General features: G+C 43.9%; 1 pseudogene; it reads left to right on the top strand.

The window, feature by feature from the left end:
- On the top strand, window positions 8140-8245 carry RNU6-1251P (RNA, U6 small nuclear 1251, pseudogene; annotated as a pseudogene).

Here is a 14281-nt window from a genome sequence, read left to right on the forward strand (position 1 = left end):
CAGAATTATCAAAATCAGGAAATTAACTGATAAAATACTGTTGTCTGATACACAGTTCATACCGAAGTTTCATCAGTTGTCCCTTAATGTCCCTTACATTTTTTCTCTTGGTCCAAGATTCATTGGTTGCATTTTGTTGTCATGGTTCTTGAGTCTCTAAATCTCTAATGCATCCTCAGGCTTTTTCTTCATGTTACTTTTTGAAGAGGAGTTAATATACCTAGCCTCCAGTTAGCCTCCTCTCCCTCAAAATTATTTTAAAAAATGACTTAATAGTGATCCAGGTTATTAACATGGGTCACTGGACATAATACATCGAGGACAGAGTCTCATTCTTGTGATATTCCTGCCCAAAATGCTGTCATGTAGAAACGAGACAAATCCAAGATGAGGGCAAAACCTACAAAATAAACTTTTCTTCCCCCCACGAGACAGAGTTTAACTATTGTTACCCAGGCTGGAGTGCGATGGTGCAATCTCAGCTCACCACAACCTCCACCTCCTGGGCTGAAGCTATTCACCTCCCTCAACCTCCCGAGTAGCTGGGATTACAGGCATGTGCCACCACGCCCAGCTAAGATTGTATTTTTTTAATAGAGGCAGGGTTTCTCCATGTTGGTCAGGCTGATCTCGAACTCCTGACCTCAGGTGATCCCCCGCCTCGGCCTCCCAAAGTGCTGGGACTACAGGTGTGAGCTACCTTGCCTGGCCTTCTACCATAAAGGAATTGCTTTGGAGGGGTGGCGGGGAGGAGGGGGCAGGTACACTATATGGGTTTTCTTTAGGTTTTCTGTTTTTTAAGAGATGGAGTCTCACTCTGTTACCCAGGCTGGAGTGCAGTGGTGCAATCATGGGCCCAAGCGATGCTCCCACCTCAGTCTCCCAAATTGCCGAGACAAGTGTGCACCACCACACCCAGCTAAGGGAGTAGACTTTTAAAGGTAAGGTTTAAAGAAGGTGGTTTTTTATTTTTGTCTTTAGGAGGGAACCAATTTGGAGATTAAGAGCTGCTGAAGGCAAAGCTTTGATGGCATCAGATAGAACCCCCATTACTGCTGAAAGCAGAGCAAGTCCCCTAGCCCAAGGCCAAAAGGATTGGGAGGCAAATAAGTTGCACCCTCATCTATAAAACAAGACCTGCTAATATTGTGAAAAGTAAATACTATTATCAAAGCATTTGGCATAGTCACTCATTAAATAGTAACTGCATTTAGGAAAACATTCTGAAATAGAAGAGCTAAACTCTCCGGGTGTGATGGCTCATTCCTGTAAAGGAGGCCAAGGCAGGCAGATCACTTGAGATCAGCAGTTGGAGACCAGCCTGGCTAACATGGTGAAACCCCATCTCTACTAATAATACAAAAAGCTGGGCGTGGTGGCGCAGGCCTGTAATCCCCGCTACCCTGGAGACCAAGGCAAAAGAAACGCCTGAACCTAGGAGGGGGGTTTACAGTGAGCAGAGACTGCACCACTGTACTCCAGCCTGAGCAACAGAGCAAGACTCTGTCTCAAAAAAAGAAAAAAAAATAGCTAAACTCTAATAATACTGTTCTAACCAACTTGAGAAAAAGGCAAAACAAAGATGCCAAACGTGGAATGTGGTGCCCAAGTATTAAAGTATCTACTATCCCTACTTTTTCGTCCTTCATGAGCAGCCCGAGTGTACTAAACACATTACTGTTACTTTTGTCATACAAAGTTTCAAACACCAGTGAGAATAGTGGAATGAACCACCCTTGTGCTCCTCTAGCTTTAACAATGTATACCTGTCTACTTCCTCTCCCAAATAATTTTGAAGGAAATCCTAGACATTTTATCTGTAGATGCACTATATAGCTCTTTAAAGACATCTAAACTCTCTTTAAATCTAGAGTCTCTTTGTCCCCTTGCAGTGTGTTTATTGGAGAAGCTAAGTCATTGTCCTGGAGAGTTTCCCAGTCTTGATTTTGCTGATTGCAATCTCATGGCGTCATTAAGTGTATTCTCCTGTATGCTGCATTTCCTGTAAATTAATAGACCTAGAGAAAGCGGGTGTGTGTGTGTGTGTGTGTGTGTGTGTGTGTGTGTGTGAAGGGTCTCACTGTATCACCCAGGTTAGAGTTGCAGTGTTACAATCAGCTCACGCAACTTCTGCCTCCTGGGCTCCAGCGATCGTCCCACCTCAGCCTCCTGAGTAGCTGCCACCATGCCCAGCTAATTTTTTCTCTTTTTGGTAGAGACGGGGTTTCACCATGTTGCCCAGGCTTGTCTCAAACTCCTGACCTCAAGCGATCCTCCCACCTTGGCCTCCCAAAGTGCTGGGATTACAGGCATGAGCCACTGCACCCAGCAAGAAGTGTGGTTCTGCCAAGGCACAGTGGCTCACGCCTGTAATTCCAACACTCTGGGAGGATCCTTTGAGCCCAGGAGTTTGAGACCAGCCTGGGCAACATAGTGAGACCCCATCTCTACAAAAAAATTAAAAATCAGACTGATGCTGCCCACCTGTCCCATCTGCTCAGGAGGCTGAGGTGGGAGGATCACTTGAGCCCAGGAGGTTAAGGCTGCATTGAGCCAATCATGCCTCTGCACTCTAACCTGGGTGACAGAGCAAGACCCTGTCTTAAAAAAAAAAAAAAAAAAAAAAACATGGTTCCCAACCAGCAGCATCAAAATCATCTCCGATGTTAGATGTTACAAATACAGTCTTCACCCCAGACTCTGAATCAAAAACTGTGGATAGAGTCAGGCACAGAAAGACAAACTTCACATGTTCTCACATATTTGTGGGAGCTAAAAATCAAAACAGTTGAATTCCTGGAAATAGTAAAAGGATGGTTATGAGAGGCTGGGAAGGGGTAGTAAGGGGGTGAGGGGTAGGTAGGGATGGTTAATGGGTCCAAAAAAGAATAAAATATAGTATGTGATAGCACACAGGGTGACTATAGTCTGTAATTTAATTGTACATTTTAAAATAAAGACTATATAACTGGATTGTTTGTAACATTAAGGATAAATGCTTGAGGGTATGTCTGTGTAGTGTGGGTAATTAAAAAGAAAAAATAAAAATACAAAAAAATGCTTGAGAGGATGAATACCCCATTTTCCATGTTGCGATTGTTACACATTGCATGTCTGTATCAAAGTATCTCATTTACTTTATGAATATATACACCTACTATGTACCCACAACAATTTTTTTTTTTTTTTTGAGATAGAGTATCGCTCTGTTGGCCCAGCCAACTTTTTTTTTAAACAAATAAATTAAAACTCTGGGCCGGGCACAGTGGCTCACTCCTATAATCCCAGCACTTTGGTAGGCCGAGGCAGGTGGATCACCTGAGGTCAGGAGTTCGAGACCAGCCTGAGCAAGGTCGTGAAACCCCACCTCTACTAAAAATACAAAAATTAGCCGGGCATGGTGTCGCATGCCTGCAATCCCAACTACTTGGGAGGCTGAGGCAGGAGAATTCCTTGAACCCAGGAGGTAGAGGTTGCAGTGAGCCAAGATCGTGCTCCAGTATGGGGACCGAGTGATACTCTGTCTCAAATAAATATTTAAAAAATAAAACTGGGTAGAGCGCAGCCATAGGTGTTTTTTAAAGCCCCTTAGGTGGTTCTGGCACATACTAAAACTTAAGACCCACTATTCTAGTGGTTTTGTCAAATTCCAATTTTAAAAAAAAATTTGAATAGGATGTGCAAGTGCAGGTTTGTTACATGCATATATTCTGTCGGTGAGTCTGGGCTTTCAGTGTGCCCATCACCACCTTTATTTTTGTTTCAAAACTTCTTGGGGGCTGGGCATCGTGGCTCATGCCTGTAATCCCAGCACTTTTGGGAGGCTGAGGTAGGCAGATGACTTGAGCCCAGGAATTCAAGACCAGCCTGGGCAACATAGGGAGACCCTGCTTCTACAAAAAAATAGAAAAATTGGCCAGGCATGGTGGCAGGTGCCTGTAGTCCCAGCTACTTGGGAGGCTGAAGTGGAGGATCACCTGGGCCCTGGAGGTGGAGGCTGCAGTGAGCCGAGATCACGCCTCTGCACTCCAGCCTGGGTGACAGAGCAAGACTGTCTCAAAAAAAAGAAAAAACAGAAAACTACGTGGGGGCGAGTGCGGTGTCCCACACCTATAGGAAGCCAAGGTGGGAGGAGTTCAAGGAGTTGAAGGCCAGGAGTTCAAGACCAGCCTGGGTAACTTAGCAAGACCCCATTTGAACGTCTTTTTTGTCATAATGGCAACCATTGATTATTTTTGCCTAGATACATTAAACCATGGACTTGTGGCTTTAAACATTTATTTCAATCCATTGCAGCTCGTCTTATCAATGCTACCTTTTTATTTTTTTCTTTTTTGAGTTAGGGTCTCACTCTGTTACTTAGGCTGGAATACAGTGGCATGATCACGGCTCACTGCAGCCTTAACCTCCTGGGGTCAAGCCATCCTCCCACCTCAGCCTCCCAAGTAGCTGGGACTACAGGCACATGCCACCACGCCTGGCTAATTTTTGTATTTTTTGTAGGGACGGAGTTTCGCCATGTTAGCCAGGCTGCTTTTGAACTCCTGAGCTCAAGCAATCTGCCTGCCTCTGCCTCCCAAAGTGTTGGGATTACAGAGGTGGGCCACTGTGCCTGGCCTTCTAATCAATGATACCTAATTCTGTCTTCGGTCAGTGGAACTCAACTCAATTTGTCTCCTGAGTCCTTTTGAAACTATTCTAATCTTGTCAGTTTCCTCGCTTTCTGGTATGGTAAGATTTCCAGCATCATGTTGTACATTTTCAGTCCAGATCTGAAATCAGTCATTTCTCCAAGGAGCCCTGGTTTTGTTGGAAATGGTATTTAGCAACCAGTCTGGGCAATAAGCAAATTCATTGCCACTTGTTTGGTCATAGGCCTTTTCGGTGGACAGAGCTAGGAAAATATTACCTGATTCTCCCTCTAGCCACACAAATCATGTTACCTTCTGGTCATCTGAAGGTCCTCTCTTCTCCAAGCGGAAACCCTCTCAACCCTGCCTCAGTCAGTGCCACAGTTTTGAATCTCCTAACTATATGTTGTCTTTCTGCACTCTTAATTTGTGAGTGCCACTCTTTTTTTTTTTTTTTTTTTCTGAGGCGGAGTCTTGCTCTGTTGCCCAGGCTGGAGTGCAATGGCGCGATCTCAGCTCACTGCAAGCTCCGCCTCGCGGGTTCACGCCATTCTCCTGCCTCAGCCTCCCAAGTAGCTGGGACTACAGGCACCCGCCACCACGCCTGGCTAATTTTTTTTGTATTTTTGGTAGAGACGGGGTTTCACCATGTTAGCCAGGATGGTCTCGATCTCCTGACTTCATGATCCGCCCGCCTCGGCCTCCCAAAGTGCTGGGATTACAGGCATGAGCCACCGTACCCGGCGTTGTGTGTGCCACTCTTACAGAGTGGTGTCCACTGGTAGACAAAGCACTCCAGGTTTGCTCTAACCTGCTCAAAGCAGAGCAGTACATGGCTTCCCTGCCTGGATATATGGTTCCTCAGCTGACTTCTGGGCCGTTTCTGGCAAAGGGATAAGAGGATTAAAAGGAAACTGTTTCTCTAAGATCCTGCAGCCTCTTTTCCGCGCCGTCAGAGGGTTTAAAGCAGATAATGTGTCATCTTGCTCTGAATAATGAGTAGAGGAAGAAGGAAAATTCAGAGCCTAACTTTCAATGTGATTCTAGAGTACACAACAGCACTATAAATGGAATGAGTAAATAAATACCTCAAATTATAGTTTTCATCCACCTTGACCATTGCCTGCAGACCTAGCAGTAACTCAAGTCCAGACAACAGTGTGGCTGTGATCATAATAAGATGATCAGTGCTCACTAGTGTTTTCAGGAAGTTTTTCAGGAAGCCCTCGAAAAGTATAGCACCATGAGTCATCATAGTCCAACTCATATTCAGTAAGCGTTTATTAAAAACTTTGGCCGGGCGCAGTGGCTCACACCTGTAATCCCTGCACTTTGGGAGGCCGAGGCGGGTAGATCGCTTGAGGTCAGGAGGTCAAGACCGGCCTGGCCAACAGGGCGAAACCCCATCACTACTAAAAATACAAAAATTAGCTGGGCATGGTGGTGGGCGCCTGTAATCCCAGCTAGTCCAGAGGCTGAAGCAGGAGGATCACTTGAACCCAGGAGGCAGAGGTTGCAGTAAGCCAAGATCACCCCACTGCACTCCATCCTGGGCGACAGAGCAAGACTCTGTCTCCAAAAAAAAAAAAAAAAATGCCTTACCAGATGTGTGGTAGATTACATTACTATAAGAAATATTTATTGTCTCCCTTTTCTGCATTTATGAGTACTTCCCTCACTTGATGTTGGCCAATGGAATTTAGCAGGCATGATCTATTTGGTAGGCTGAATGATGCCCTCCCCCACCCCCCAAAAGGTCCACGAGCTAATCTCCAGAACCTGTGAATATGTAACTTAACATTGTAAAAGACACTTTGCAGATGTAATTAAATAACGTTCTGGAGATGTAATTATCTGGCTAGGCCCAGTGTAATCACAAAGGGAGGCTTTTTTTTTGACTCTCCAGCCTCCCTTATAATCTAGAGAGGCTGGAGAGTCAAAAATCAGAAAAAGTTGGTGTAAAAATGGAAGCAACAGTAGATTGGAGATGCTCTACTGTCAGCTCTGAAGATGGACGGAGCCACGGAACAAGGAAACGGATTCTCCCTAAGGGAGCACAGCCCTGCCGACTCCCTGACTGGGCCCATGCCTCCCTCCCTCCCTTGATTGGCCCAGTGAAACCCATTTCTGACTTTTGACCTCCAGAACCATAAGACAATAAATTTGTGTTATTAGGTTGGTGTAAATGTAATTGCAGTTTTTGCCATTACTTTGAAAATATTTTAGGCCGGGCGCTGTGGCTCACGCCTGTAATCCCAGCACTTTGGGAGGCCGAGGAGGGCGGATCACGAGGTCAGGAGATCGAGACCATCCTCACTAACATGGTGAAACCCCGTCTCTACTAAAAATACAAAAAATTAGCCAGGAGTGGTGGCGGGCACCTGTAGCTCCAGCTACTCGGGAGGATGAGGCAGGAGAATGGCGTGAACCTGGGACTCGGAGGTTGCAGTGAGCCGACATGTGCCACTGCACTCCAGCCTGGGTGACAGAGCAAGACTCCATCTCAAAAAAAAAAAAAAAAAAAATTTTAGACCACCAAGTTTGTGGTAATTTGTTACCAAAGCTCCAGAAAAATTATTACAACACAGCTAAAGCCTTAAGACACACTTGCACACCTGGGCTTGCTCTCCTGCATCCCAGCTGTCTCCATGAGAATAATACACCTCAGCCAGCCTGCTGGTCCAAGAGGACAAGAGACAGGCTGGCCAGAGCTGCCTGTGAGCCTTGGCCACCAGCTCGAAGCAGAACCCAGCCAGATCAGCCAACCTGCAGAAATGTGAAAAGTAAAAATGTAGTGGTGTGTGCTACTCAGTTTTGGGGGTTAGGGACAATGATAGCTAACTGATACGGGGTGCTAGGCAACTCCACATATGTCCCTGCAATAACTATACGTGGTAGAAACTGTTACCCAGCATTTTACAGATGATGAAACAGGTCAGGTAAACCCACATGCCCAAAGTCACACACAAGGCAGCATTCTGAAGTTCAGTCGTTTCATTTTGCCTAAATGAATATGAGAGATATCTTCCATTTTTCCATCCCAATTCCCTATCCGCCTGTCTGAGCCTCAGGAAACTAGCCTCATGACTTCCTCCACACACTTCCCTGCCCTCTGGTTTCTGAGTGGGACGTGGAGAGAGGGAGGAGATGGAAGTTGGGGTCTTTATTCCCACAGCACCCCACCCCTACCCCCGCAGACTTAACTAAGGCTGGCAGTGGCCTTCAACCAAAGGCCATAGTGTCTGGTGTACACAGCCCTCTTGTTCCAAGTCCCGGTAACCACTGCCTCCCCTTGTCCTAGCCCCTCCGTCTTACGCTAACCATTGTAATTTTTCTACATCCTGCCCACACCATTATAAATAAGTTAATGATTTATTGTGTCGTCTTCAAATTACTGAAGTGGGGAGTGTGCCTTCTGTTTCCTGTTGTGACGCTGCAGATAATAGCAAGTAAGTTAAACAGTAAGTAAATATTTCCTATTTCAGAGGAATATAAAACATCACACTTAGTGCTTGCTTCAGCAGCATATATACTAAAATTGGAACGATACAGAGAAGATTAGCATGACCCCTGCGCAAGGATGGCACGCAAATTTGTGAAGCATTCCATATTTTAATTAAAAATTATTTAAAAAATAAAGAATAAATATCGGGGGTAGATATGCAGGCAGGACGGGGCAAAGCTCTGAGGGGTAGGGTATGCAGGTCAGCATTATCTAGTTGCAATGGTTATGTTGGGTAATGGGCCACCTGGTGGTCTAGCTGGAGGCAACAAGGCTGTAAATCAATTGTTCATTCTTTCCTGAGATGGGACACTCTCAACCTTGGTTTGATATTCTGGATCTCCTAAGGCCAGTTCCTGGAATTATTTAAATAAAAGGCATGGTTAAACATTAAGAGAGCACAGAAGAACAATATAGAATGGCTGGACTAGGTGTGGTGGCTCACACCTGTAATCACTTTGGGAGGCTAAGGCAAGAGGATCACTTGAGCCTAGGAGTTCGAGACCAGCCGGGGCAACGTAGTGAGACCCTGTCTCTACAAAAGAATTAAAAATTAGGCAGGTGTGGTGGCGTGCACCTGTAGTCCTGTAGGTCTAAAACTGGCCTGTTTGGAGATTTGGTTATTATTTCACTCTCTCCTGATTTCCTTGAAGGTTTGATAACAATCCTGGTTTCAGGCTGGGTGCAGTGGCTCACACCTGTAAATCCCAGCACTTTGGGAGGCCAAGGCAGGTGTGTCACCTGAGGTCGGGAGTTCGAGACCAGCCTGGCCAACATGGTGAAACCCTGTCTCTACTAAAAATAACAAAAATTAGCTGGGCGTGGTGGTGGGCGCCTATAATCCCCAGCTACTCAGGAGGTTGAGGCAGGAGAATTGCTTGAACCTGGGAGATAGAGGTTGAAGTGAGCCGAGATCATGCCATTGCACTCCAGCCTGGGTGACGAGAGCAAAATTCCATCTCAAAAAAAAAAAAAAAAAAAAAAAATATTGGTTTTGGCTTGGTGGTGTAGAACTTCAGCATTTGTACTCCATTTTGGTTTGGTCCATTGGGTCTAATGCCAGAGCCCAGTCCAAATAATGAACTCCTAAAAATTGTATTTAACATAAGGAAGGGAAGGAAGGAGATAGAGGGAAAGGGGGCATGAGAAAGAAGGGAATGAGGCCAGGTGTGTGGCTCACACCTGTAATCCCAGCACTTTAGGGGGCAGAGGCAGGAGGATTGCTTGAACTCGAGTTCGAGACCAGCCTGGGCAACATAGTGAGACCTCGTCTCTTTAAAAAAAAAAAAAAAGAGACTGAAGAAGAAAGGAAGTAGAGAGAAAGGAAGGAAAGAACTCACTCTTCATTTGTATTTCCTGGCTCTAGGTTTGCTAAATATATGTGTATATTCTGACACTTTTTAAAACAGTAAAGAGGATTTTATTCAGGACTATTGGAAGAGGGGAGAGAGGTCTGCCTCAACCAAACAGCAAGGGCAAGAAGTGGGGATTTATAGCCAACAAGAAGAGTGAGGGGTCATGGCTGAAAAAATAATTAGAGCAGACATCATGGGTAGGGGGATTCTAGCTAAACTGAACTCACAGGATTCTTGCTAGAGGCAGACCAAGGACTTACATATCAGAGGTGAAGGATCAGAAACTTGATCAGATATGAAGGATGGGGGATAACTTAACAGGATTCTTATTAAAACTGGGCCAGGCAGGCCAAGGACAGGAGGGAGTGGAGGCCAAGTTTGGACAAGGAGAGAGCCTTTTGTCAGTTTTTTAAATCACTCTTTGAGTATGAGCCTGGGGAACTGGAGAATTCATTTTTTTCTTTTTAAAATGTAGATATGAGGTTTTGCGACATTACCCAGGCTGGTCTTGAGCTTCTAAGCTCAAGCAATTCGCCCACCTCAGCCTCCCAAAGTGCTGGGATTGTAGGCATGAGCTGCTGCACCTGGCTGAGAATTCAAAAACAGTAAAAATTAGTAAGATTAGAGTACTTTAATGTGGTGCTTCACAGTATACAACGTTCTTAAAATCAGGGCCGGGCACGGTAGCTCATGTCTGTAATCCCAGCACTTTGGGAGGCCAAGGCTGGTGGAAGTCAGGAGTTCAAGACCAGCCTGGCCAACATGGCGAAACCCCGTCTCTACTAAAAATACAAAAATTACCCGGGCGTGGTGGCGCATGTCTGTAATCCCAGGTACTCGGGAGGCTGAGGCACGAGAATCACTTGATCCTGGGAAGTGGAAGCTGCAATGAGCCGAGATCACACAACTCCACTCCAGCCTGGGAGACAGACTGAGACTCTGTCTCAAAAAATAATATTAAAAAAAATAAAATCAGTAACCTGAGGATACTGGATATCAACTCCTGTGTCCAATTTATTTCATTAACCACTTTAGTAAATATTAGAACACTACACAGAGCTGTATCATCAAGTTGAACCACACTCCAATTTTCAGGGCAACTGCTGTGAAGTCAATAGTAGCAGCATCCCCACAAGCAGTCTGCACCATTTTCTTGGGCCTTGTTTGAAGCCACATTGCATACATCCCACAAGTCTCTACTAAAAATACAAAACTTAGGCGTGGTGGCACAAGCCTGTGATTCCAGCTACTCAGGAGGCTGAGCTGGGAGGATGGCTTGAACCCAGAAGGCGGAGGCTGCAGTGAGCTGAGATCGGGCCACTGGACTCCAGCCTGGGCAACAGAGTGAGACGCTATCTCAAAAAAAGAAAAAAGAAATGCCGTTTAGCTCTTCCCTGTTTTTGCACATACCAGCAGTAGAACGAAAGTCTCACATAGTTAGCTTAAAAATTAATAATAATAAAATCAGTGGGCACTGTAGCATGCACTTGTAGTCCCAGCTACTCAGCAGACTGAGGTGGGAAAATTGCTTGAACCCAGAAGTTTGAGGCTGCAGTGAGCTGTGATTGCACCACTGGGGACGCCAGCCTGGGTAACAGAGTAAGACTTTGTTTCTTTACAAAAAAAAAAAAAAAAAAAAAAAGTCTGCAGCTCCATAGTCTAATTGATAGAAACAAGAATTAAGTTCCTACGGCATATTTGGCATATTCCTGGTAACAAAAACATCACCAAACTTCTAAACAAGATCAAAACACTTCTAATATTAAACACTGAAATAAATGTGAGCTACACTTACCTTTTACAAAGATTAATAGAAACGAGAATAATTGACCCAATTTTTGGTTAATCAGTGAGTGAGGGCGGTCGTCGTGGTGATGGGTTAAATCACGGAATAAATGTTCGTAAAGCAAAAATTTTCAGGAGCACGTCCTCCTGCTCTACAGTTCAAAAATAAGAACCAATCTGGCAGGCTCGCTGAGCGTTTTTGGATCACGTCATTTATTGTCCTGCATTTGTATGATTATCATATACTGTATGGATTTTTTATTTTACAGTAATTTGTATTCACTAATTTTCATTCATTCCGTTTCCAAGCTGCTTATTCCAATTCAGGGTCTCAGGTGGCAGCCTGTCCTAGCAACTCAGGACGCCAGGTGGGCGTCCCCCCAGACAGTATGCTGTCCCATCACAGAGCGCGCGTGCACACACACACACATACACACACACTCAGGAACCATTTAGACACGCCAGTCCACCTAAAGTGCACATCCATGGGATGTGGGAGGAAACCAGGATACCTGGAGAAAACCCACGCAGGCATGAGGAGAACATGCAAACTCCACACAGACAGTGGCCCTGGCTGGGAATCGATTTGTTTTCTCAACAACGTTATAACAAAAGGATGTTGAGTGTAATGATGTTATTTGAGGACTTGCTGTAATTAACCAACTGGCCAGTCGACTGCATCTTTATAGTTACTATTATTCCATGTGCAAACAGGAGATCCAAAGAAGGAGAGAAGGGTTAGAAATCCATTTTTTTCTTATCAAAATATATTATTTTATCCATTTCATTACAGTCTTTTATCCATTTCATTACAGTCTTTCCTGAGCAAAGTGGAAGTTCAAGTCAAAAGTCAGATGAAAGTCGCTTTAAAGTTCAAAGAGGAGAAGAAATGAACTTTTCTTTTGAGAGCCTCTTTTGTGCCAGGTGCTTGCCCCTTGCTATGAGAAATGTCAAGATCTTTGCATCTATTGAAGTACAGAGTAAAAATTTTTTTAAAAACGCAAAGATGAATACGATGAGAGTTTGTGACCTCATGCCACATACCAAATCAGGACAAGGCTATCAGTAATAGCACCTGAGATTCTCCGGGCTAGAATAAACCTCCATCATCATCTTGTTCTATCCCTTATCTGATACTCGAGTCAGCTCTTGCTTCTTCATACCCAGTCTGCCTAGCTTTTTTTTTTTTTTTTTTGACAGGTTCTCACTCTGCTGCCCAAGCTGGAGTTCAGCTGTGCAATCTTGGCTCACTGCAACCTCAGCCTCCTGGGCTTAAGCAATCCTCAGGCACACAGCACTACGCCCAGCTAATTATCTTCTGTATTTTTTTGTAGAGACAGGGTTTTGTCTTGTTGCCCAGGATGGTCTCAAACTCCTAGGCTCAAATGATCTACTCACCTTGGCTTCCTAAAGTGCTGGGATTACAGGCATGAGCCACCACACCCAGCCTGCTTAGCTGTTTTAAAATAAAAACTTTAGACAAATTAAATGTAACAGAGTTTAATTGAGCAAAGAACGATCGGTCAATCAGCCCCCTAAACCAGAATAGGTTCAGAAAAACTCCAGGGTTGCTGCATGGTCAGAGAAGACCTATGGACAGAAATAGGAAAGTGACATACAAAAAACAGAAATGAGATACAGAAACAGCTGGATGTGTTACAACTTGGCATTTGCCTTATTTGAACACAGTTTGAACAGTTGGCCGTCTTTGATTGACCAAAACTCAGTGATTGGTATGAGAGTGGGTTACAGTCTGTTTACACATTCAGCTAGAATATACTTCACTATGTACAGAGAAATCCTTAGGCTGAATATAAGGAGGCAGATTTAGGCTAAACTTAATTTAACAGTTCCCCGCTTTTGGTCAACCTCTCAAAACTTTAGGCATTGATATCATTCTGTCATCATTGTAAATGTACTTATTTGGTCTCAAATCCCACTTGGAAACAGCAGAACAGTGAGTTTTGTGAGGGCTTTAGATTACCTTTTGGTAAGGGTTAGAGTAGAGGGGATCTCCTTGTGCTAAAATCTCCTATTTTCTATTCTACAATCTCTTGGTCTGTTTTAGGATCTATCTGCTTCTTTAAAGTTTTAGTTTGATTATTTTGCATTTAGCATGAATGACTCCATTTTGGTGTAATCTGTTCTGGTCTGTTGGGGTCTAGTACATGAGCTCACTCCAAACTTATGACTTGCTGCCATCATTTTGTTTAAAAACCCTCCCCTTTTAGTTAAGCTCTCACTTAGGAATGTGACCAAAACTCAGGGCTTTAGCAGCAATCTCAGTTACCATCATCTGGGTTTCTAGTTTCAACACAAAACTTACAGGTTACAGTGTCCTCATGGTTATGTTGTTTAAAATTTTGTTGTTCCAGTTGAAGAGAGACCATATGACATTCTATGATGGCTGTGTGCAAACACTTAAAATTTTTGAGAGAATACAGTGTACCAGGGAGAATACTATTATTAAAATGACTATCAGGAAGATAATATCAAGAGTTTGGAGTATGTGCCATAGAGTCCCCATGAACCAAACCAACAAAAATCAAATAGATCAAAGAATGAACTAGATAGAGTCGATTCCTTTCAACCAAGCGTGAAATTAATTATAGGGGATTTGTTAATTTTCTATAACTGAACCTCTGTAATACCCAATGTATTCTTCTATGTACAAGAAGTGTCAGCATTGTGCACATGTACCCTAAAACTTAAAGTATAATAATAATAAAATAAAATAAGAAAATTATTAAATGCTTAACAAGTAATAAAAGAATTTAAAAATGAAAAAAAAAGAAGTGTCAGCAACTGCACAGATATTTCTCTATTCAGCCATTAAGTAATCTAAAGCAATTCTATTATCTAGCACAACCTTATTTATTCAATTTTTTTGAAACAGGATCTCATTCTGTCACTCAAGCTGGAGATCATAACTCACTGCAGCCTCAATCTCCCAGGCTCAAGTGATTCTCCTGCCTCAGCCTCTCAAGTAGCTGGGACTACAGGCACGT

Source organism: Homo sapiens, chromosome 20, assembly GCF_000001405.40.
Source record: "Homo sapiens chromosome 20, GRCh38.p14 Primary Assembly".
Lineage (NCBI taxonomy): Eukaryota > Metazoa > Chordata > Mammalia > Primates > Hominidae > Homo > Homo sapiens.